This window comes from Homo sapiens, chromosome 11, assembly GCF_000001405.40.
Source record: "Homo sapiens chromosome 11, GRCh38.p14 Primary Assembly".
Taxonomy (NCBI): Eukaryota; Metazoa; Chordata; class Mammalia; order Primates; family Hominidae; genus Homo; species Homo sapiens.
Window position 1 is genome coordinate 10,924,880 of NC_000011.10, and position 24,998 is coordinate 10,949,877.

At 44.7% G+C, this 24,998-nt stretch overlaps 2 long non-coding RNA genes across 4 annotated transcripts in view, besides 3 other annotated features; one reads left to right on the forward strand and one right to left on the reverse strand.

The window, feature by feature from the left end:
- LOC107984309 (uncharacterized) overlaps nucleotides 1-6,789 on the reverse strand; it is a 31,528-nt gene extending 24,739 nt beyond the window's left edge. For 2 of the 3 annotated variants that reach the window (XR_007062590.1, XR_001748124.2), the window contains exons 1-2: nucleotides 5,532-6,218; nucleotides 2,832-2,952 (exon numbers count right to left, since the gene is read on the reverse strand). This is a non-coding gene — a long non-coding RNA (uncharacterized LOC107984309). Of the gene's footprint in view, nucleotides 1-2,190; nucleotides 2,953-5,531 lie in introns of those variants that run through there. The other variant, XR_007062589.1, reaches the window with a different exon arrangement.
- Nucleotides 6,184-6,263: a silencer, noted in NCBI's record as "silent region_3155". NCBI's record gives its function as "represses an Ori minimal core promoter by ATAC-STARR-seq in GM12878 lymphoblastoid cells {active_cell/tissue: GM12878}" and the evidence as "EXISTENCE:reporter gene assay evidence [ECO:0000049][PMID:35858748]".
- Nucleotides 6,524-6,663: a silencer, noted in NCBI's record as "silent region_3156". NCBI's record gives its function as "represses an Ori minimal core promoter by ATAC-STARR-seq in GM12878 lymphoblastoid cells {active_cell/tissue: GM12878}" and the evidence as "EXISTENCE:reporter gene assay evidence [ECO:0000049][PMID:35858748]".
- Nucleotides 6,635-17,485, forward strand: LOC105379882 (uncharacterized). The gene is made up of 4 exons (XR_001748122.2): nucleotides 6,635-6,721; nucleotides 7,515-7,583; nucleotides 8,568-9,431; nucleotides 16,180-17,485. It is a non-coding gene; the product is annotated as an uncharacterized LOC105379882 (long non-coding RNA).
- Nucleotides 11,782-11,970: a silencer, noted in NCBI's record as "fragment chr11:10958208-10958396 (GRCh37/hg19 assembly coordinates)". NCBI's record gives its function as "represses an EF-1alpha promoter that drives an FKBP-Casp9 reporter gene in an ReSE screen in K562 erythroleukemia cells {active_cell/tissue: K562}" and the evidence as "EXISTENCE:reporter gene assay evidence [ECO:0000049][PMID:32094911]".
- Nucleotides 17,486-24,998: the final 7,513 nt, after the last annotated feature.

The window sequence follows — 24,998 nt, forward strand, 5'->3', positions numbered from 1 at the left end:
TGTTGGGATTACAGGCGTGAGCCACCGTGCACAGCCATGGCCAAGTTCTGTGAGCACTCTCAAGCTCCTTTACCTCTCTGGGGAAGAAATTGGAGTGTTTCCCTGTTGGAGTGGGCAGTCTCAGCAGGCAGGCTTTCGCTATCCTTAATAAGAATACTTAAAGTGTAAGTGAATATAATTGCTGGAGAAGGAGAATTTATTACAGAAATCTTGCACCTCTTTCATGTTCCACCTGTTGAAGAAGTAGAGCTTCTGGAAGGGTGCACATAGATGTGGTGTGACTTCAGCACAAGGGTCAGTCACAATTGTCTGCCTCATTCATTTCCCATGAGAAGGAAAAAAATTCAAGGAATGTTAGGAGGTGTTTGGGAATTTCTCCATAGCCCTCCAGGCCTTCTATATCAGATTAAGCTGGTAACTGAAGAAACACAAACCACTTTTATATGAATTATGATGGCTCTAGAAATATTGCTATTACTGAGTCATTCAAAGGTATAGCCAAAGAGCAATTCCAGGCAGGTGAAAATGAGAAGTTTTGGATTACTCCACTGTTTGAAGTTCCCTTGGGATAAATGCCGAGCATGGTGTCAACAGCAGTGTGACTTGGCCCTGTGCTCTGGACTTTGCATTATCCAGGCCCCAAGAGCCCAGCTCTGCAACCCAGAGCTCCCTGCAAATATGATCTGTTGGTAAAAGGGAACCTACACGGGCGACAGACGGAGCAGCCTCCAGAATAAGTCCTTGCTTGCCTTCAAAATCCTCATGCTAAGGGCAGGACTTCTGCGCTATTTATTCTAAATCCCCAGCACCTGCCACAGCCCTGGCCTACAGTAGGTATCAACATCTGCTAGAAGGATGAACAGATGGATGAGTGAGCTGGCTAGACCAGTTCCAGCTGTCTCCAGTACTGGCGGCCTGGTGTTCATGAGTGTGCAGAGCTGTCCCTTAGCAATGAAAGACAGCATGACAAAGGCTGCTGTGGACTGCAGAGGCTACCAGCTGGAGATTTGGAGTCAGCCACATCTGGGTACTAATTTTGCTCTGTCACTTGTTAGTTGTGTGACCTTGGGCCAGTCATTTGATCTCTGAGCTTCTGTTTCCTCACATATAAAATGAGCATAATAAAATCTACCTCACTTGGCTATTGGGAGAATGAAATCAGATAATGCCTGTAGAATGTTTAGCTACGTACCTGGCACACAGTGAATGCTCAACAAATGGGTCTGTCTGGGATTCTATACATTTTTTTTTGAGACAGGGTCTCACTCTGTCACCCAGGCTGGAGTGCAGTGGCGCCATCTAGGCTCACTGTAGCCTGTGCCTCCTGGGTTCGAGTGATTCTCATGTCTCAGCTTCCCAAGTAGCTGGGATTACAGGCGTGCGTCACCACGCCCGGCTCATTTTTTTCTATTTTTTTGTAGAGACAGGGTTTCACCATGTTGGCCAGGTGGGTCTTGAACCCCTGACCTCAAATGATCCACCTGCCTCAGCCTTCCAAAGTGCTGGGATTACAGGCATGAGCCACCGCTCCTGGCCTTGATTCTATACAATTATAGATGCAATGCTGTAGGCTAGAGAGTTAGCTTGGGAGGAACTGCACTCATCACTGTGTCTAGAGGAGGTGATATTATAGGTTCTGGAGCCTGCAATGTCAGCCGGTGTGGTGGTCAGTGCTTAGTATTGTCCTGGAAGGGGTGTAAGTCATGAATCACGAGTGAACGGCTCAGAGGTCACATGTGTGGGGACAAGGTAAGGGCAAGGCTGTTATGAGGTCACAATGCTAGATTCTCAGGATGAGAGTTATGGCTGAGTTTATAGAAGATGAGGGATGGAACGGACCTTATTTGGCTCTAGTCTGGGCCTTGAATTTGATGGGGCTTCCTTATGAATCAAGGTATATTTCTAGTCCACAGGGATGGACTCTCCCTGCCAAGTGCCTTCATGGGAACCATGTGACAGTTAAATTTGATTCATGCAAGATGCTTCTCTGGGCAAATTTCATTGTGAGTTCTACATGCCAGGAATTCCTACAATCTGTCATCTGAGAAAGCCCCCAGAATGCTGAGACAGGAGCCAAGCTCTGCCCTGTATGCCAGAGGGGTGATGATTCTGTTTGTGAAAATTTAGTTGCTCAGAAATGACTGATGGTGCTGTGACTGATTACTGAATTATACCTTTGGCAATTAGTCATTCACTCAACAAACATTTATTTCTCTTCTTTGCTTTCCTCTCAGATGAAACCATAGCAGTCAGAGACCATACATTGGAGCCCACAATGTGTCAGAAGCATGGCATGCTCTGTGCAGCCTTTTTCATCCTGTTTGCTTCCATATACAAAGTGTCTCTGCATATGAGTCCCAGGAGGTTTGGTGACTTTTTAATATTCCCCAGAGCTACCTTTCAAAGCAGCGAGGTTACTTGAGTTCCAGCCTAGAGGCTGGATTCAATGCTGAGCAGCAACTCTAGAGAGAAGATGCAGACTGCAGCTGTTGTTTAGCATCTTTGAGCATTAACTATTCTCACTCTCAGAAAATGGAGTATTTAGAGAGCAGTCACTGGAGGAGGCCAAAGGTTTTAGCAAGAGAACTGTTTTACATTCAACAGCTATTAAACAAGTCGCACCCTTCTTCCTGCAGTCTTTAAGTATGGTCACTCAGTGGAGCTCATGGGAATAAATACACTTGGAGGAGATCAAATCCCAGTGTTCCTGGTCTATGGGGCATGAGTTCCCCAGTTACTCTTTCTCCAAGCACTCAGCAAGGTGTGGTGATTCTGAGCTCTGAACTGGAGGTTAGGATATTGAAGTTCAAAATTCCAGCTCTGCCACTTACCTGCCAGTTGGCTCTGTCAGGGCTGTTGCTCCCTTGTTTACAGAACAAGGGCTGTCCCTAGAGTGACTCCCAGCTCCAGCGTTCTAGAAGACTGAGTTAGCTCTGAGTGTCATTTCAAATTCTGGAAACAAAGTAATGACTGTTAAAATTAGCATACTTTGGTAACTTTGAGCAAGGGTCACAGACATTGGCACTGGCTAGCAAAATCTCAGAGCTATGGAATTTCACTCAAGTGCGAAGTCCCCAGAACTACTTATTTGTCACTGATCTTTAATGTGAAATTCTTTGACAGATAATTTCATCATGTTTGACAGACTTTTATTAAACAAATGCTCTTTAAAATGATTAGCAAACTCTAGTCAATCTTTTTTTCATTTTTATTAATAGTAGTAAAAAATAGTACCAACTATTCAGTGTGTATGATATACTAAGCACTTTTTACACTGTAATAAGCATTACTTCATTAGAGCCTTCCAATAATCCTATCATTGTTTCCATTATTATTTATTTATCTATTTGAGACAGAGTCTCACTCTTACCCAGGCTGAAATGCAGTGGTGTGCTCTCGGCTCCACCTCCCGGGTTCAAGCCATTCTCCTGCCTCAGCTTCCCGAGTAGCTGGGATTACAGGTGCCCACCACCACACCCTGCTAATTTTTTGTATTTTTAGTAGAAACGGGGTTTCACCATGTTGGCCAGGCTGGTCTAGAACTCGGGACCTCATGTGATCTGCTCACCTCAGCCTCCCAAAGTGCTGGGATTACAGGCAAGAGCCACCATGCCCCACCCATTGTTCCCATTTTATAGATGAGAAACTTGAGGTTCAGAGGAATTCTGAGAGGTTCCCAAGGTCACATCATTAGTAAATGGAGGCAGTAGGATTTGAATCTGGCTCAGTTTAACTTCTGAATCTATGCTCTTTTCTTATGGCTAGAAATTCTAGTGTTTTGTATCACTTATGACCAGCATCATTATAATCAACCACACTTGCAAAGTGTCTGCTATGAGCAGAAGATAGAGGAGGAGAAATCAGACATGGTCCTTGCCTTTAAGATCTTCAAATCTAGAAGACAGAGCATGTCTGTAAATGATGCAACAACATAAAGCAATGAGTGGTGTTGATAGCAAGAACTGGAGGGGCTCAGAGGCAGGAAAAATCCCTGGGGATGCTAAAAAACTTTACTGACAAATTGGGACTTTATTTGGATTCTAATGAATGCGGGCTGAAAAAAATATGAGGCAAGCAGAAAGAAAAGGCCCTGGAGGAAGGAGAAGGATAAGAGCAAAGTCCTGAAGATGGGAGCGTAGTTGATATGTTCCAAGAACACTAGGCATGGCTGTTTGACATGAGTGGAGACTTTGGGGAGCAAGAGACTCATTTGGGAAGGAGACCTGGGCCTTGGGCACCAGTTAAGAATGCAGTCTCCTCCATGAAAATTAAGCAGGTGCACATACACTGGGTGTGTCTTCTTTGTAAGCAAGGACTTTGCTTACAAGGACGTGCTTACTTTGTAAGCAAGAAATCAATGACCTTTATAGAGATATTAAATTGTTTTTGCTACATAGAAATAGTGATTCAGATAGAGAAATTTTACTGATGAAAAAACAGCTACTGAGAGAACATTTGTAAATCCCATCGAACCCTCTTAATATTCACTTGGTCACACTGATGGAGCACACTAATGGGACTGCTTTCCACATCACCCAGGTTAAGTGCCTGTGCATTTACTTACAAGAACTGGGAGGAAATATATGGTGATTTAAAAAGCCAGGGTAGGCCAGGTAAAGTGGCTCATACCTGTAATTCCAGCGCTTTGGAAGGCCAAGGCAAGAGGATTGCTTGAGCCCAGAAGTTTGAGACCAGCCTGGGCAATATAGGGAGACCCTGTTTAAAACACACAAACCAACCAACCAAAAAAAAAAAAAAAAAAAGGCTAGGTGTGGTGGCACATGCTTGAGCCCAGGAGGTAGAGGCTGCAGTGAGCTCTGACTGGGCTGGGCCACTGTATTCCAGCCTGGGTGACAGGGCAAGACCCTGTCTTTAAGGAAAAAAAAAAAGGCCAGGGTAGGATGGTGGCATTGTGGGTGATTCTTTTCCCCCCTTTTAAAGTTGACTTTAGTATTACTGTTAAGTATTAATTTGATATTTGATCTCTCTCTATATTTTTCTCACTCTGTCGCCCAGGCTGGAGTACAGTGGCGCCATCTCGGCTCACCACAATCTCTGCCTCTTGGGTTCAGGCGATTCTCCTGCCTCAGCCTCCCGAGTAGATAGGATTACAGGCATGCGCCACCACGCCTGGCTAATTTTTGTATTTTTAGTAAAGACTGGGTTTCACCATGTTGACCAGGCTGGTCTTGACCTCCTGGCCTCAAGTGATCCACCCGCCTCGGCCTCCCAAAGCGCTTGTATACAGGCGTGAGCCACTACGCCCAGCCGATATTTGATATATTTTTTTAAAACCCATTCATGTTGGGATCCTCAGAAAAATTTTGAATTGAACATTATCTAAACTACTTCATCAGAAATTATTTCAGATTTAAAAAAAGTTCATTAAAAGAAAAAAATTACAGCAAATCAAAGGAGATTGCACACACCATCCCTTGACCTAGAGTTCTTTGGCTACAGAAGGAACTCCTATTCATCCCTCAGAAACCACTGGGGTCTCACCCCCTAACAGAGTTTAGCATCCATGGTACCTTTTATCAGTAGAAAGCAGTAAAGTCCATTTTGGAGTCAATCAGGCAGTTTAAGAATCCCCGCTTCCGTATTACTATTAGCTGTGTGACTCTGAGCAAGAAGTTACACAACTGAGCCTCGGTTTCCTCCTCTGTGAGGTGGGATAATAGTAGCTTTTAATAGTAGCTTCTGAACAGATGAGGACTGAAATATATGTGAAATGTGTTGAGCTGTTTGTCGCGTGTGTGTACAGAACGTGATTCCTTTCACAATTTCCCACGATTTGTGATTTCATTTACCACACTGTATTCGCCACACGGGGTCCCGAGGGCAGAGACTCCGCTTTACTGATCTCTGGTACCCCATGCCTGGCCCACGGGGGCTTGCAATTAGGTGTTTACAGAAGAAAGGAACGGAACGACTTCGAGGGCTCTGCTGGAAGCTTCGGCAGCGGCTCCGAACGCTTCCCGCCGCCTCGCCCGGCCGCAGCCGGTTCTTCGTGCTCCTCGCTCGGCGCCCACTGGCCGCCGTCGCCCCGAGGCTGCCTAGCGTCTCCCCTCAGCTTCTGCTCGGGGGGCAGCGGGTTTTGCCCGCCGCTCCTCCGTCAGAAGGGCGGCCAGGGCTGGGACAGGAATGAATTCCCTGCGGGTCCGGCATCCTCCTCCAGCCTGGGGCGCCGGCAGCGCGGCGGGCAGTGCTGGGACTCGTGGCGCCCGCGCTCCAGCCCCCGCCCCGGGCCGCTACTCTTCGGCGGGGCCCGCGGGGCGCAGGCTGCTCTGCCGCTGGGGCTCCGGTCCGCCTGCACTGTGACGTGGGCAGCAGCTGGGGCGGGCAGTGCCTCGGTCTCCGCTCGGGGACGCGGTGATTTTCTTTTTTTTTTCCGACTGCCGGAGCCCGTGGTGGTGGTGCTGGGGGGCGGGGTCGGCGTGGGCAGAGCTGCGGGGGCTGCCGCGGAGGCCGCCCTAGGAGGGAGGGGGCGGACCGGGGTGTGAGGTGAGCGGCCGTAATGAGCACTCGCAGGAGCAAGGGGCCCGGCGCGGGCCTCCAGGGCGGGAGGCCCTGACGCGGGGAGGAGGCGGCCGGGCGGCCAAGGGCCTCCCTGGGGAGTGTGCGGAGGCCGGGACGGAGCAGCGCGTAACTAGGGAGAGGATAGGCCGGGCTGGTGGAGATGCGGGGAGAGACCAGCCAAAGCTAAAGAGCCAAAGCAAAGGTGCTGCGGGGAGGACAGAGGAGCGGGAGGAAAGGGGAAGGAGAGAAGAAAAGAGGCAGGGAAACCCGGAGAGAAAGTGGGAGGGAGGCCAAGGGGACAGGGGAGGGGTGGGAAGAACGTAGGGCGGGGAGCAGAAAGGAAGGAGGGATCCAGAAATGGACCCGGAGGGAGAGAGGAAGGCGGAGAGCAGCTGTGAGGGAGAGGCTTGGCGGGAGCCTCAGCAAAGAGGAGGCTTTGAGGAGGCAAGTCTGGAAGCTGAGAGAGCTCTCTCCATGCTTTGCCAAATAAAAAGGCTCAACAAACAGGAACAGTGCATTCCTTGGTACTCCTGTCCCTTAGTCAATAGCAGGCTAGGGCTGGCCTCAGGGGCTGCTGAGTACTTCCAGGTGACAGAACAGGAGGAAAGGGGTCCCAGGCCCCTTGGAAGGAGAGCGGGGCGCGGGGGCAGGGAGGAGGGGAAGGAGGTGGTGGTTGGGAGAAAGAGGAGGAGGTGGTGGTGGGGGAAGGAGAGTGGGAGGAGAAGTGTGGGAAGAGAGAGTGGAGGGAAAGGAGAGGAGGAGGAGGTGGTGGGGGGGAGGAGGTGGTGGGGGGGAGGAGGTGGTGGGGGGAAGGAGATGAGGAGGAGGCAGCCTTGTGGAGGAAGGAGAGAGGAGGAGGAGGAAGCAGTGGGGGTCAAGGAGAGGAGGAAGAGAGCAGAGGGAGAGGGCAGATTTGTTGCCTAGGCACTGGCTGAGGGTCACGATGGAAGGAGGCAGTATTTATTTTTTAAATTTATTTGACATATATTTACAAGGCAACTACATTGTCGGCACTGCCCTAGGCTCCAGGGCCACAGAGACAACCATAGCTTCAGCCTCCTGCTGTGAGTACTCTTGTCGGGCGACATAGAAAACATACATCCCAGGCTGGGCGTGGTGGCTCACACCTGTAATCCTAGCATTTTGGACGCTACGGCATAAGCATTGCTTGAAGCCAGGAGTTTGAGGCCGGCTTGGGAAACAGTGAAATCCTGTTTCTACACAAAATAAAAAAATTAGTTTGCTGTGGTGGTATGCATCTGTAGTCCCAGCTACTTGGGAGGCTGAGGTGAGAGAATCACTTGAACCCAGAAGTTCAAGACTGCAGTGAACTATGATCGAACCACTGAACTTCAGCCTGGGCGACAGTGAGACCCCTTCTCAAAAAAAAAAAAAAAAAAAAAGAAAGAAAGAAAACATACATCTCAGCAGTATGGGTAATGGGCCAGTTAGTCAAGTGCGCTTTGCCTCAGTTTCCTCGTCTGTAAAATGGGGTTTATTAGGAGACCTACTCTGTAGAGTTTTTTTTCTTTTTTCTTTTTTTTTAAGAATTAAATAGTGTTTCTTTATAAAGTAATAATGTGGTGCAAAGCACAAAGCAAGCACTCGGAAAGGGTTTACCTATGAACATTTGCACTGCCGGGTCTTGAAGGAGAAGGCATTTGCCAAGCGAGAGCAGAATGGGAAGAACTTTCCAGGCAGAGGCCACAGAGGCAGTAAGAAGGAGGGGGGCGAGGATGATTGTGGGCTTAATAACAGTGGTGGGCATGAGGATTACCTGCAACAGCAGCACCCTGTGGGGAGGTCTTGCTAAATATTCAGATTCTTGGGCCCCTCCTTAGACCTACAAGATCTGGGTCTCTGGGCAAAGCATGGGAATCTGTGTTTTAACTTGCTCCCCAGAGATTTCTGTTGCACCCCTTCCCTCCACCCGATCCCAGGGCTCTGTCCTGGTTCAGGCTTTATTGTGTTCAGCTGTGCTAGAATAAACACCTTTTTAATGGATCCTCCTTCAATCCTATAACCTGATTCTCCTTCAATCACCTCAGCCGAATGACATCTCTCAGAAATCTTCCCTGACTGTCCAGGCGGAATTAATGGTTCACTTCCCTGTTCCTCTATACCTTGAGCATCCCTCTACAATTGAATGCTCCTTCATTCCATTTCATTGCACCAGCATGTATCGAGGGTCTACTGTTATCTATCGCTGAAGAGAATGATTGCAAAAAACTTGAATGAACATGGAAAATGCTGATGATCAGATTTCCATTGAAAAGAAAGGTGTGCTCCTTGGGGTGGGGGTGTTGTTGTAATTGTCAGAAAATGTTTAATAAAAGAAACAGAAATAACAATAATCTTGTTAGCATAATTGTGAGTGAACTTTTGCTCTTTTTTAATTCTCAAAAATACCCTAAACATCATGTTTCACGGTCTTTACAAAAACACCACCACAGAAACAACAGAAGCCTCCGGGCCTGAGGTGTCATACTGGGTATGGCCACATGGTGTCCCTCCAGCTCAGTCTAAACCTTCCAGACTACAGTCTTCCAACAGTCTCCGCTTCGCCCAGCAGCCGGGGCTAGTCCGAGCCGAGCGAACCCTAAGCTACGGGAACCAGCTTCTTGGTGCTGTCCCAAGAGTGGAGAGGAGACAGATGAACGTTTCTCAGGCTAGAGGAAGGCGGTTTATTTGCTTCCAAGGGTTCCAGTAGACAGTTCTGACACGAAATTTCGTTGTGGAGGGAACTTTTAAGACTGTGTGAAGGGAGGGAATGGGAAGGGTTTAGATTTGCATAGTAGGTGGGCAGCTTTGTGGCGGTTGGGAGGAGGTTTGGATGACTTGAGAGAGACCAGGAAAAAAGCTGGAGTCCGGACTGAGGAACGGAAGGATACGGAGTTTTTTTGTAGGCGAGGGTAAGGGGCAGCAATGGGGTTGGAAGGAGGGGTTGGGGATGTGTTTGCACAGCAAGCATACTATTTATATCACACATCCATAAGAAAAAAGTTGTAAAGAGGCCCTTCCCCGTCAGTATTTTACTTCGGTTTTCTTGCCAATCCGGCCCCAAACTCGGAGGTTTTTTTTTTTTTTTTTTTTTTTTTTTTTTATGCCAGTCTGGCCCCAAACTCTAGCCGTTCACCTACATACTGGGAAACTGTTATGTTTTCGGTTTGATAGCAGACAGGCAAACTTTTTAGCAGCATTTGGATTTCCTGTAGGACGGTGGTTCTCAAACTGGTGCGCATGAGTGTCACCTGGAGGGCTTGTTAGAGCAGATGGCTGGGCTCCACCCCAGAGCTCCTCTTTCAGTAGGTGTTGGGTGGAGCCTGAGAATGTGCATTTTAATAATGTTCTCAGATGGTGCTGATACTGCTGGTCTGGAGAACCAACAATGTAAAGGAATTCATTTCCTAACAGGTTCTGCCAATGTTCTCTCCACCTTAAAAACCAAAAGCCAAAGAACCCCAATTCTCCCCCTGGATGATGGGTATTTGCGATTGCAGGCACTTTAAAAAGTGGTAGAACTCACCTTCTGGTTTTAGTTTAATTTTTTGTTTGTTCTAACCACTGTCATTCAACACATAATGGTTTTAGATATTTATTGTTAGCTTTTGCCTGTTTAGAATTTTTGATCTTGTTGCTATGGATGGTGTTTGCTATAAAAACCTTGATGGCTGGGGAGTGGAGTGTTCCAAAGGAAAATGCTCTTATATTCAAGTCAGTTCCTCTGCTCTTATCTGTACACCACACTGTAATCCCTAGGAAGGAGACTCTAGAGGAAAAGGGGAAGGCGGGAAGGCTCAACAGCTGGGACTGCCATAGGTTCAACCAGTCCACAGCCCTAGAGGGGTGCATGCACACAGTGGAGCTGTCTCTTCTCCTCTTAAGGGGCAGCTCTGGGCTTTGGGGTACCTGAGTCTACAGTAGGAGGGAAACGAGAACTGGTCTCAGCTCCTACAGGTACTTTGGACTTTACCTCCTCGGGTCTTATATTAGTTTCCTATTGCTGTTGTAACAAACTACCATAAATGTCATGGCTTAAAACAACTGAAGTTTATTAGCTTACAGTTCTAGACGTCAAAGTCTGAAATGGGTCTTGTTGGGGCTAAAATCGAACGCTGTGTTCCTTCTGGGGGCTCTAGGGGAGAACCCGCTCTTTGTCTTTTCCAACTTTGTTTTGTTTTGAGACAGGGTCTCCCCCTGTTGCCTGGGCCAGAGTGCGGTGGTGCAATATAGCTCACTGCAACCTTGAACTCCTGGGCTCAAGCACTTCTCCTGCCTCAGCCTCCTATGTAGCTAGGACTATAGGCACACGCCACTATATCTGGCTAATTTTGTTTTTTATTTTTCGTGGAGATAGGGTCTTGCTGTGTTGCCCAGGCTGGCCTCAAACTCCTGGCCTCAAGCAATCCTCCCGCCTCAGCTGGGATTACAGGCACAAGCCACTGTGCCCAGCCCATTTCCAACTTTTAGAGATTGCTTGCATTCCTTGGCTCCTGGACACATTACCCTGATTTCTGCTTCTATCACCACCTCTCCTTTTCTGACTCTGAGCCTCCGGTCTTTCTTTTAAAAGGGCCCTTGTAATTACACTGGGCCCATTTGGATAGTCCAGGATACTCTCCCCATTTTAACTTAATTCCATCTGCAAAGTCCCTTTGCCACATAAGGTAACATGTTCATAAGGTCTGGGGATCAGGATGTGGACTTCTTTGCAGGGGGTGAACTGTAATACTCATTTATAAAGTATACTCATAAAGAATTGAAAATACAGTTCAGACAATAGAAGAGAAACATAATAAACATTTCCTTCCATTTAAAAAATAGTTTTTACATAGTTATACTGTATATACAACTTGAGATCCTGGTATTTCAATTAAATATTGTGTCTAAATATATTCTAAATTATATAAAATGTGCTAAATTATACTAAATATAGTCTATATTAATATACACAGCGAACATTTTTACTGACTACATAGTTGAGTGACTATACCATATTTTACCTAAGCCTTCCCATAATTTTGGAAATGTAAATCATTTTAATTTTTAAATATAAATAACTCTATGATAAATACTTTTGCTCGTAAGGATTTTTATGTTTGTAAGTTTTTCCTTGGGATAGGCTCCTGGATGTGGAGTCACTGGATCAAAGGCTTTTACACAAAATGTTTTTCAAAGGGTTTATATTAATTTTCAGAACCACCAAGTTCTGAGAATTAGGATGTGAATATCTTTGGTGTCATTATTCTGCCTACCACAGGCCTCAAGTTTCTCCTTGGTAGAATGGTAATATAATCACTATTCCCCAGGCAGCTGAGAAGATTAAAGGCACTCATATCTCTGAAGAAAGCTTGGTAAGCAGTGAAGACCTGCACATGTGGTAGTTATTGCTCTCGTGACCTGAGCTTACCTGGTGGGCAGGTTGGGAAAGGGGCTCATGCCCATGACTCAGTTATACCACACTACAGCCCTGATACTTGAGAGACAGTGTGTGTGCGTGTGTGTGTGTGTGCTTGTGCATAGGGTATGGGGTGGGAACAGTTTTCTAAGCAGCAGCCACTTGCTTACAGAAAGGCCCAGCAAACCTATGGAAAACTGTCTGGAACTGTGGTTCACCACCCTCACTGTGCATCAGAATTACTCCATGAGTTTTTAAGAAGCACAGGTTCCCTGAGTTCCATACCCGAGTGATTCTGGTTCAGTTAGTCCAGGTGGAGCTCAGTCTTCATGTTTTACCAAAGTTCCCCAGGTGATTGTGATGCAATAGAGATTAAAAAAACTCTGACCTAGGCCATCTATGGGAAGCCTGGGGAACAAAACCTGGGAAAAGCTGGAATGGGTTCATGGCAAACGCAAGACGTATAGATGGCTTTAAGAGGCAACAAGGGCTATTACCCCTCCCTGTCTCTCAGCTCTGTGGCCCAACTATTAACCCAGAAAAATTACCCAGTGGATGCTGGTTGAGGAGCTCTGGCTTTAACAAGACAGTTAAGAGCTTTTGTTTTGTGCCAACAGATGTTGCTTTCCTCAGTCAATAAGGAGGCCAAGACAGGCCTCTGAGCAGCACGTTCCTGGAGCAGTCCAAGCTCTGCAAGGGGAAGTGCTCCTTTGACATCCCCTTCTGTTTCACTGGGGAGTAGAGAGGGTGCAAGCAGAGGCCTCCCTGACTGGCATGTTCCCTGCCCACAACCTCCCAGTGAGGAGGAGGGCAATAATCAGTCTCCCAGGGCAAAAGCAGGAAACTCTCATTAGTTGGGGACAAGTGAATGAGGCAGTGAGGGCACCTTTTCTCAGATGTGGTGTTTTTCCAGGATGGTTATTAAGAGAAGCTGCCTCCTTTGACCTGGAAAAAGAGGCCACTTGCAATCTGAGTTTTCAGTTTCAAGATGTGGAAGCATTGCCACTGGGGGCTGCATGGAATTTTAACTGCCAAATTAAGAGGCGTTAAGATTGACTTTGGGTTCTGTCGTGTAGACAATACTCACGTCACCCAGAAGCCCTACTCATTTCTGTATAAGAGTAATGAGATACATACATACATATATATATGCATCGTATGTAAGTGTAATGACTAACATAGTGCCTGACACACAATAAGCACAATAAGCATTACACACACACACACACACACACACACACACACCAGTTCACACTACTTACATAATCTCATTTATTCTTCACAACAACCCTGGGAAGCAGATATTATCATTTTCTCCATTTTACAAATGAAGAAATAGTGACTTAGGTTGGTTGTGTCATTTGTCCAGTGATGAAAAGCTGGTGAATGGCAGGGCCAGGGCTCAAGCCCAACCACCTGGGTCCAGATCTTGTTCTCTTACTACATTGCCTTTTACCAACAGATGTGTTCATTTGGTTCCAAGAGGTTGTGGGAAAGATTGGTTGGAGGGAGGGTGAGGCAGGAGTGCCTTTTCTAGAGGACCCTGAGGAAAAGGTTGACACATGCACAGTGCAGGGTCTGTTGCTGTCCTCCAGCCCTACCTGGATTCTGAGCCCACCTGAACCAGGGGCAAGGAGACCACTGGAGACCGTGGCCCACCGGTGGGTGCGTCTGGAATTGCTAATCAGGGGCTTGACATTTCACATGCCGGTGGGAGCCTTGCGTCTCCAGAGCCCACCAAGGCAAAGGATCTTGGCCCCTGCCATAGGGCTTGCCCCTTATCACTGGGCTCCTCCTCTCCTTTCCCCTTCCCATCTCCTTCCCCTTCCTCTTCCTCATCCTTGTCCTCCTCCTTCTGCTTCTCCTTCCCCTTCCCCTTCTTTTTCCTCTTCTGCTTCTTTTTCTCCCTTTCTCCCCATCTCCTCCACCGCTACCTCTGAGTTCTATCTGTCTCCTTCATTCAATTAACATTTACCCATCAGGTTCTTTGCTGTGTGTGGAGGTTCCAGGCTTGGCTGGAAGCCCTGCTCTGGTGTGAATCAGCCTGCCTGGGACTCCCGGGCTTCTTCCTTAGAGAGCTTGGTCCTGTGCTCTTGGCCCCAGCCCTCAGCAGGACCTTACTGAATGAGCCCATTGCTGTTGCTGGATTCAATATGGCTGCCCAAAGGACCCCATGGCCTTTGGATATAGTCCTTGGATGGCCCTGCTGACTCTCGCAGGCCTGTGTAGCTGTGTTGGTTCAGTCCTGCTGGGCCAGAGATTCTTTTTCTTCCTTCTGTAGGGAAAGCTGTTTAGTACTTGTGCAGTTGCCAAACTGAAGCCAAGAGAACCTGGTTGCTGAGTGACTGCAGAGTGAACAACCCCAGGTCTCCTGTAATTCTGACATTTTGCCCTGCTCACTCTCATCCTTCATGATTACTTATGTGTGTGTCAAGGGATGTCTTCGTGGGTGTCCAGACGTTCTGTATGAACACAAAGCACTGGCTCCTGGGAAGAGAAGAGCATTAGCTTCTTTATTATCTAAATTTGGAATCTGCATAGTAAAATACACACTGTCTCCAGGGGGATGCTTTAATAGCTCTAATGAGCCTTCCTGCAGGTCTTGTCAAGGGACACCCGCCTAATGGCTGCGTGAATTTCGATGTGTATCTGATTTGGGCCAGGTGTGGCCACTTTACAGTCACTGTTAGATACTAGAAGCCTCTCTAGAGTTTACAGATGAGGAAACTAAGGCCCTGAGAGGAGAGAGAGGTTAGGTTTGTATGGCCAGAACCTAAATGCTGCTTCAGTACATCTCCCTGGTTCAGGAAGGCATTAAGCAGGCTGAGCACTCCGTACACAGGCTAATTTAACAGAGAAATCACCAATCTTGCATCCATTGGTGAGCCAGTGCATTATATTCTTGAAGGACCAGCAGATAGGACATCCCCCTGGCTTTACCTTCCAAATCCATGAAGGATGATTAGACTGGGAAATACAGACTATTCTTTAAAGGAAAGAACTGCAGTTGCTTAGCAGCTATTACCAAAAGCACTGGAGGAAGAACTAATGAAAGGGGTCTGTTGTGGGTTACATTGCATCGCCACAAAAGATGTATTTTAGTTCCAACCCCGGGTATTGGAGAATGTGACTTTATTTGGCAATAGAGTCTTTGCAGATATAATAAAGTTAAGATTAAATCATTAAGGTGGCCGTAATCCAATATGACTCGTGTCCTTATAAGAAAAGAAAAACACCATGCAAAGACGGGGATGCATAGGGAGAATGTCATATGATGACAGAGGCAGAGATTGGAGTGATGCGGGTGCAAACTAAGTAATGCCAAGGATTGCTGACCACCACCGGAAGCTAAGAAGAGGCCAGGAAGTATTCTACCAGGGTCTCAGAGGAAACACCACCCCCTCAACACCTTGATTTCATCCTCCTAGCCTCTAGAACCGTGGGACAATAAATTCTCGGGACAATAAGCTATACTCAGTTTGTGGCACTTTATTACAGCAGCCTAGGAAACTAATACAGGGCCCAACATAGTAAGCCTCTTTTCTGTATGTACCTGATGCTTTGAGGCATAGGGCCCATGTGAATTGGGCCATCCCATCATGGCCATGATACAATTAGAGAGGGAGGCTGTGTGTGGGGCTTGTGGGAAAGCTGGGGAGTTGCTTAGAAAGGCCTGTGCTAGTCAACATCCCCCTCCCCTTTCCACTTTCCCATTCCTTTACCCTGTCTCCCTTCCAATCTAAGTTCCAATCCCTTGAGTGTGAGCTCTTGGGATCTCAGCTGATTCAAGTGATAGAACCTAAGGTGACTGATATATTCACACACTATTTGCCTCCCCAGCGAGAAGCTTGTTGGTCCAGCTGCATCTCCACTTGGTGGGCTGTCTGGGCCTTGAGTGGGATTGAGGGGGAAGATGAGTGGGAGTGGTTATGTCCAGTTTCTCCACAACTTCAGGGGGTTGAGCCGTGGCTATTAGTGTTAGTTCTCCTAGAATCAGCAGCTTGTTCGCCTAGCTATTTTTGTGGTGAACATTGTATTCTTCCTCAATGTCCACATTCTCCCTCACTCTTTGTGTAAACTCTGTGATTTGGGAGGGAATGAGCAACCCCAAGGTCCAAGTCTAAGCCAGTCAGATAGTTCTACCCCCTTGCCACTGTGCCAATGCACAGATAGACCAGGTCTAAGCCAATTAGCACATGATTCTCCCCGACCACAGGGGAGTTCTGTTGTATGATAAAGGAGTTCATCCTTTCTCTGGCTAGATATGAACAAGGAAGTACATCACCCTCAGTGCTGTTGGCAGCCTTCCTGTGACCATGAGGAGAGTCAGCTTCAAGATGATCCTTTGGATAAAAGAGCAAAGAATCAGAAAGATCCTGGTTCCTTGATGACTTCAACAAGCCATTAGGTCAATCAACATCCTGAAATTTGCTCTATTTCTGGATTCTAGTTAGGTGAGTCCATACATCCTCATGTTTCAAACACATTTATTTTGTCCTCTTATTGTGGTGGTTTTAAAATATGAATACACATTTTTTTCATGTTCCTCCTTTAAAAAAGTGGAGCCTAATTTTCCCCTACACTTAAGTGTGGGCTTGTCTTAGTGATTTTTTTGTAAAGCATAGAGAATATGGCAGAAGTGACAGTGAGTGACTTCTGGGATTAGGACACAAAGGCATTGTGTCTTCCTCCTTGCTTTCTCTATTGTATCACTGACTCTGGAGGAAGTCAGCTGCTGTGTCATGAGGGCACTCAAACAGCCCTATGAAGAGGTCCATGTGGTAAGGAACTGAGGACTTCTGCCAACAGCCAGCAATAACTTGCCAGGTATGTGAATGTGCCATCTTGGAAGCAAGTTCTCCAACTCCAGACAAGCTCTCTAATAACTGTGGCCCCAGCTGACATCTTGGCTGCAACCCCACGAGGGAATCTGAGCCAGCACCACCAAGCTAAGCCACTCCTAAATTCCTGACTTGCAGAAAATGTGTGAAAATAAATGTCTATTGTTTTAAGCCATTCAGTTTTGGGGGTAATTAGTTATGTTACAGAAGATAACTAATACTCTTATATCTGAAGGCATCCTAAAACAGATGCACCTTCCTAGCTATAATCACTGACGTCCAGTATTGAGTTGAACACAGTTCATTTCACCAGGGTCACTGTATTTGTTTCATTCTGGAGCCCCAGAGAAGTAGCCAGACCAGGGAGAAGAAATGACTGGGTTGTGTGTCTTGGTCATATGTTTCCCTTGGCCAGCCTGTTGTGACATCATAGGGCCTTGGACAGTGCCACAGTTTCCTATGGCCCAGCATGATGTGGGAGGTGCAGAATTAATTCCTAGTCACCAGAGAGAAGTATGAAAGTGGCTGGGCAAGTAGAATCTGAATAGGGTTTATAGCTGGGAATGAGAGGTGACAGGACATCTGAGCTTATATCAGTGTTGGTAGATAATAACAGAAAAGCAGATTGCCACCCCTATTCCAATGCCTTGGCCCTCTTTAACTCTGAGAAAAAGAAGGGAACCTCAGTGGAATGGAGCTTAAAAATAAATTGTAATAACAAAGCAAATTCCTACTTTTTTTAACAAATGAATTTATTGTATATAAATATCTCAATAAAGCTACTTTTTAATTGATACATAATAATTGTTCATATTTATGGAGTACATGTGATATTTTGACAGTGCATACAATGTGCAGTGAAGTCCCATTTCTTGTGTGCTTGAGCTTCGGCCTTAGTTTCATACCCACAACACTAGTAAGAAAACTTGTTTGCTCCCAGCGTGTTCCTTCTTTCCCTGCCCCACAACATAAGCAGTGGATTCACTGTGTCTCAGGCTCTCTTCCCTAGGCACCTCTCTTCCCTTGTGGGGTCCTGGAGACTCATGTTAACTCCTCTGCAGCCTACCTCTTCCTGCTCTTAATGCTATTTTACATGGCCCCACTCCCAAGCCTTGACAGCTCTTATTTTGCTGTAGTTCCTCAGACATGAGCTAGTCCTGTTTGGTCTTTAAAAATCTCTCATTCGTGCTGATGTCACCCTTCCTGTCATCACTGGTAAAGAGCGAGTCATTTTTGTATGGTGTCTGATGTTGTTACCTCTCCTTCCAAATCTTTCACCATTTTTTTTTTTCTCTGTTCAGAAAATTATTGAGCTGGGGTGAGAGAAGTGTTCTTTCCCAACTGTTATTATTTTTCCACTATGCTCTAAAACGAATCATCTTATTCTCATTTTAATATATAACAGTGAATATTTCAACCTTTATTGTATTCTTTCTTCATTCTTAGGCTCCAGAGCCACTTCTTCCTTGAGGCCTTTGCCCATTTCTCTCTCCCTTTCTAATGCAGGCCAATCTCTCCATTATGTATTCATACCTCTGTGGTTTGTGTACATTGTATTGTATTAAAATCATCTGTTCATGCATATTGCCCTCTCTGAGAGCCTACAGAAGCAGACACTAGATCTGATTTATTTGTGTACCCTCAGTGCTGGTGTAAAGTAGGTGCTCAGTAAATGTTTGATGAACTAAGGTCTAACAGCTCATAGCTCTGTGATTCTGTTTAATTTCTATTGTGGATTTGTAGAGATTTCTCAACACTTAGAGCCTAGAAGAAAGGTCAGCATTTTTCCAGAGCTTTTGGCCTTGCTCAAGGGGTTTAGTGCATAAAGGGACTGGTTTAGTAGGAAGGGGTCTGACTTTCCAATACACGTAGATCAGGATTATTTTAAACATAGGAAGGAGGATAATCTGCATTTCTCATTAATAATTAGAATGAAGTTTGCATCCATGTTTCTACTCATATATTAGCTCAAAAATGTTGGTTCTTCAATATAACAAGGAAAACTAGAAATGAGTCCAGCTTTCAAAGGGCTGAATAGGCATGTCTTTCTGTTTCCACTTAAGTTCTGATTGCAGTCATTATCCACTGATGGTTCCTTGCTTCTGCCAGGCCCAGACTCAGTGGGTAGTCTGAGTGTGCTCCCTGTTGCTCAGGTCTGAGCTGAGCACATGCACAGTGCTACACTCAAGCTGGGTAGAGAGCAGCTGAAGACATACTGTCCAGGTATGCACAGTATCTGGAACTGCAGACTGCGGCTGGGGTAGGTGGCTTTGGTTTAGGACTTGGTATTTCACAGGGGCTCTCTCCTTGCTCCTGGAGGCCTCTGGCCCTGATATGATGGCCCCAGTGATGTTCCGTGGGTCTTCTTCCACCACCCTCACTCTACTTCTCTAGCAATTAGACTAGAGCACTGATCATCTGTAGGAAGATGATGATGGCGTTCTTCCCTCTCTAGCCCCTTCTCCTACTCCCTGAGCTCAGCCCTGCATTCCTAAGAGGTCCAGTGGTGATTCTGTTCTGGGACTCAGGCCAACATAGCCCTATGTCAGCCTGGCTCCCTCTTCTACTTGAGCTCCAGATCAGCCTACTTCCTGCTGTCTGCTGTTTAGAAATGCTTTCTGCAGCTCAGTCTCAATGGTGGCTTTTGGTTCAGCAGGCACCCCTTTCAACAGTCCCCCTTACCTGCTTCACTAATTAGGCACCAACTGCTGACTACAATCACTAATCTCAGGTCTCAGCTGTGGGGCTCGATTCATCCTCTCCAAACACATGCTTATCCAAGGGGGGCAGACACCATTGAAGTTGTTGAAGAGTAGTTTCACATATGCTCACATGGCATCCTCCGGTCCCACAGAGGAAATGAGCTCCATAAAACCTTTGTTCATCCAATATGCTAGGGACCAGAAGAAAAGGACTTAGAATTAACCATGATTGGACTATCCAATTCTTTGATTAAAAAGTGCAGGGAAGCTGGTTGCCTGGGCAATTAGAGTGGCTCTAAAATGGGCAATGTTGTCGTTCAAATAAGCTGCTTAACAAGAAATGACCATTGCCCAGGCAGAGGGAAGCCATAATGAGGGAGAGTTACCAGCCATCCATGCTGCCCTTGACACATCATCTTGGGAACCTAGTGTTCGATGGACATTAAGGGGTGGCTGTGTGACAATTGCTACCACTTAAAGGTTTTTGCAAGAGCCACTGGTTATTTCCTCCAGGAATTCATATGCCATATGGGCACTTGTCATCAGGTGAATTTAGTGCCCAGATTATGGTTATGGAATTAGACTTTTCTCAGCTGCTTTAACTGAGAGAGAACACCTGGGACATGATCCAGTCCAGTGATAGCCAATTATTGCCGCATGTTAGACTAACATGAGGAGTTTAAAAAAATTCCTGTCCCCACACTGCATGCCAACCAATTACATCAGAATCTCTGGGAGTGGGACCTAGGCATCAGGATTTTAAAAAGCTTTTCAGGTTATTGAAAGCTGCTAGTCTAGTCACACTTTCCCCATCAAAATCCTGTATTAAAATAATCTGAATAGTTACTAAATATATACAAATGATAATTCATAATCGGCATCTAAAAAAATAAATGTAACTACCTAGGTACAATGCAGAAATTCCTTTGTGCTGGATTTTCATTGCTGTCGGTTATTGCTCTCTATTATCCTGGTTTTCTTTATTCTGCTTTCAGGAAAATCCATAAACATTTGCTTGCTTTGATTCCCAGTGCCAAAAAGTCTTGGGCCTGTTCTGGGAAACTGACAAAGTGCTGAGAGCTTAGAGAAAAATTCCACCTTTGGAACAGAGATCAAATTTAAAAAGCCCTCTTAAATATTTGGAGTTCCTTTAAAACTCCAAATATTTAAAGGAAATATTTGGAGTTGAAAGAGATGGAAAAGATGATAACAGAAATGAAAACTCAAAGACTAAGGAGGGAATCAGAAACTTTAAAAAAGTATACAAAAACATTGTTACTAAGTTTAAAAATCCTGAAATTAGAGAATAACCATCTGTGCATCATCCAGCTCTTTGATAGTTTCACAGAGTTGAAACAAAGCTGATCAGCTTAAACCAACTCCAAAGTGTCAGCATTCAAACTCGATGGAGACTGGCTTGGGCATTATGGACCTGCTTTAAATGACTAGAGCCAGCCTCACCCATGTGAAGTTAGTGACAGCCTGAATTTCTATTGCCTGTTACTTTTAAAACATTTAATTATTTTATAAAAGTGCCAAAAACATATAGTTTAAAAAATTAAAGAGTACTATAAGTATTACAATAAGAAGCAACAGTTTTATGCACCACTTTCTCATTCCTGATTTTCTGCTCCCCAGAGATACTTTGCATTCATTGGCTATTTCTATTGGTATTGATCTCCATATTTCTAAGTAACATGCTTATACTGCTATTTCCTAAACTTTCTGTTTTAGACCTTCCCTATTAACTTCCTATTATGGCAGATAAGGATATCTTTTAGTTCTCTTACCTCTTTTCTACCCTTCCCTCAAACTTCCTTCCTTTGTCACTCCCCTAATATAGTTATAAGTTTTAGTTAGATCAAAATTCAGTATTTACCTTCTTATGACCACTTAGGTATATTACAGCTAGCCAGGAAATAACCTATGATTATATTTCCTTTTGTTTATGACATTTTATTTTTCTTGGAGTTAATGATTATCTTATTTTCTCAGTTGCTAGGGATTTTTTTTTTTTGTATACACGTGCCATGGTGGTTTGCTGCACCCATCAACCTGTCACCTATATTAGGTATTTCTCCTAACACTCTCCCTCCCCTAACCCACCACCCCCAAGAGGCCCCAGTGTGTGATGTTCCCCTCCCTGTGTCCACGTGTTCTCACTGTTCAGCTCCCACTTATAAGTGACAACATGCAGTGTTTGGTTTTCTGTTCCTGTGTTAGTTTGCTGAAAATGATGGTTTCCAGCCTCATCCATGACCCTGCAAAGCACATGAACTCATCCTTTTGTATGGCTGCATAGTATTCCATGGTATATATGTGCCACATTTTCTTTATCCAGTCTATCATTGATGGGCATTTGGGTTGGTTCCAAGTCTTTACTGCAGCTATCGTGAATAGTGCTGCAGTAAACATATATGTGCATGTGTCTTTACAGTAGAATGATTTATAATCCTTTGGGTATATACCCAGTAATGGGATTGCTGGGTCAAATGGTATTTCTAGTTCTAGATCCTGATTGAACTAGTTTATACTCCCACCAACAGTGTAAAAGCATTCCTATTTCTCCACATCCTCTCCAGCATCTGTTGTTTCCTGACATTTTAATGATCGCCATTCTAACTGGCATGAGATGGTATCTCATTGTGGTTTTGATTTGCATTTCTCTGATGACCAGTGATGATGAGCATTTTTTCATATGTCTGTTGCCTGCATAATGTCTTCTTTTGAGAAGTGTCTGTTCATATCCTTTGCCCACTTGTTGATGGGGTCGTTTGTTTTTTTTCTTGTAAATTTGTTTAAGTTCCTTGTAGTTTCTGGATATTAGCCCTTTGGCAGATGGATAGATTGCAAAAATTTTCTCCATTCTGTAGGTTGCCTGTTCACTCTGATGATAGTTTCTTTTGCTGTGCAGAAGCTCTTTAGTTAATTAGATCCCATTTGTCAATTTTGGCTTTTGTTGCCATTGCTTTCGGTGTTTTAGACATGAAGTCTTTGCCCATGCCTATGTCCTGAATGGTGTTGCCTAGGTTTTTTTCCAGGGTTTTTATGGGTTAAGGTCTTACATTTAAGTCTTTAATCCATCTTGAGTTAATTTTTGTATAAGGTGTAAGGAAGGGGTCCAGTTTCAGTTTTCTGCATATGGCTAGCCATTTTATCCCAACACCATTTATTAAATAGGGAATCCTTTCCCCATTGCTTGTTTTTGTCAGGTTTGTCAAAGATCAGATGGTTTTAGATGTGTGGCATTATTTCTGAGGCCTCTGTTCTGTTCCATTGGCCTATATATCTGTTTTGGTACCAGTACCATGCTGTTTTGATTACAATAACTTGTAATATAGTTTGAAGTGAGGTAGCCTGATGCTTCCAGCTTTGTTCTATTTGTTTAGGATTGTCTTGCCTATACGGGCTCTTTTTTGGTTCCATATGAAATTTAAAGTAGTTTTTTCCAATTCTATGCAGAAAGTCAATGGTAGCTTGATGGGGATAACATTGAATCTGTAAATTACTTTGGGCAGTATGGCCATTTTCACGATATTGATTCTTCCTACCCATGAGCATGGAATGTTTTTCCATTTGTTTGTGTCCTCTCTTATTTCCTTGTGCAGTGGTTTGTAGTTCTCCTTGAAGAGGTCCTTCATATCCCTTGTAAGCTGTATTCCTAGGTATGTTATTCTCTTTGTAGCAAATGTGAATGGGAGTTCACTCACGATTTGGCCCTCTCTTTGTCTATTATTGGTGTATGGGAATGCCTGTGATTTTTGCACATTGATTTTGTATCCTGAGATTTTGCTGAGGTTGCTTATCAGCTTAAGGAGATTCTGGGCTGAGACAATGGTGTTTTCTAAATATACAATCATGTCACCTGCAAACAGAGACAATTTGACTTCCTCTCTTCCTATTTGAATATCCTTTATTTCTTTCTCTTGTCTGATTGCCCTAGCCAGAACTTCCAATACTATATTGAATAGGAGTGGTGAGAGAGGGCATCCTTGTCTTGTGCCAGTTTTCAAAGGGAATGCTTCCAATTTTTGCCCATTCAGTATGATATTGGCCGTGGGTTTGTCATAAATAGCTCTTATTATTTTGAGATACATTCCATCAATACCTAGTTTATTGTGAGTTTTTAGCATGAATGGCTGTTGAATTTTGCTGAAGTCCTTTTCTGCATCTTTTGAGGTAATCATGTGGTTTTTGTCATTGGTTCTATTTATGTGGTGAATTATGTTGATTGATTTGTGTATGTTGAACCAGCCTTGCATCCCAGGGATGAAGCCGACTTGATCCTGGTGGATTAGCTTTTTGATGTGCTGCTGGATTTGGTTTGCCGGTATTTGATTGAGGATTTTTGCATTGATGTTCATCAAGGATATGGATATGGGCCTGAGATTTTCTTTTTTTCTTGTGTCTCTGCCAGGTTTAGCAGGATGATGCTGGCCTCATTATATGAGTAACGGAGGAGTCTGTCTTTTTCTATTGTTTGGAATAGTTTCAGAAGGAATGGTACCAGCTCCTCTTTGTATCTCTGGTAGAATTCGGCTGTGAATCCATCTGGTCCTGGACTTTTTTTGGTTGGTAGGCTATTCATTACTTCCTCAATTTCAGAACTTGTTATTGGTCTGTTCAGAGATTCGACTTCTTCCTGGTTTAGTCTTGGGAGGGTGTATGTGTCCAGGAATTTATCCATTTCTTCTAGATTTTCTAGTTTATTTGCATAGAGGTGTTTATAGTATTCTCTGATGGTAGTTTGTATTTCTGTGGGATCAGTGATGATATCCCTTTTATCATTTTTTATTGTGTCTAGTTGATTCTTCTCTCTTTACTTATTAGTCTGGCTAACGGTATGTCCATTTTGTTAATCTTTTCAAAAAACCAGCTCCTGGATTCATTGATTTTTTGAAGGATTTTTTTTGTGTCTCTATCGCCTTCATTTCTGCTCTGATCTTAGTTATTTCTTGTCTTCTGCTAGATTTTGAATTTGTTTACTGTTGCTTCTCTAGTTGTTTTAATTGTGATGTTAGGGTGTCAATTTTAGATCTTTCCTGCTCTCCTGTGGGCATTTAGTGCTATAAATTTCCCTCTACATGCTGTGTTAGCTGTGTCCCAGAGATTCTGGTATGTTGTATCTTTGTTCTCATTGGTTTCAAAGAAGTTATTTATTTCTGCCTTAGTTTTGTTATTTACCCAGTAGTCATTCAGGAGCAGGTTGTTCAGTTTCCATGTAGTTGTGTGGTTTTGAGTGAGTTTCTTAATCCTGAGTTCTAATATGATTGCACTGTGGTCTGAGAGACAGTTTGTTGTGACTTCTGTTCTTTTGCATTTGCAGAGGAGTGTTTTACTTCCATTTATGTGGTCAATTTTAGAATAAGTGCAATGTGGTTCTGAGAAGAATGTATATTCTGTTGATTTGGGGTGGAGAGTTCTGCAGATGTCTATTAGGTCTGCTTGGTCCAGAGCTGAGTTCAAGTCCTGAATATCCTTGTTAATTTTCTGTCTCGTTGATCTGTCTAATATTGACATTGGGGTGTTAAAGTCTCC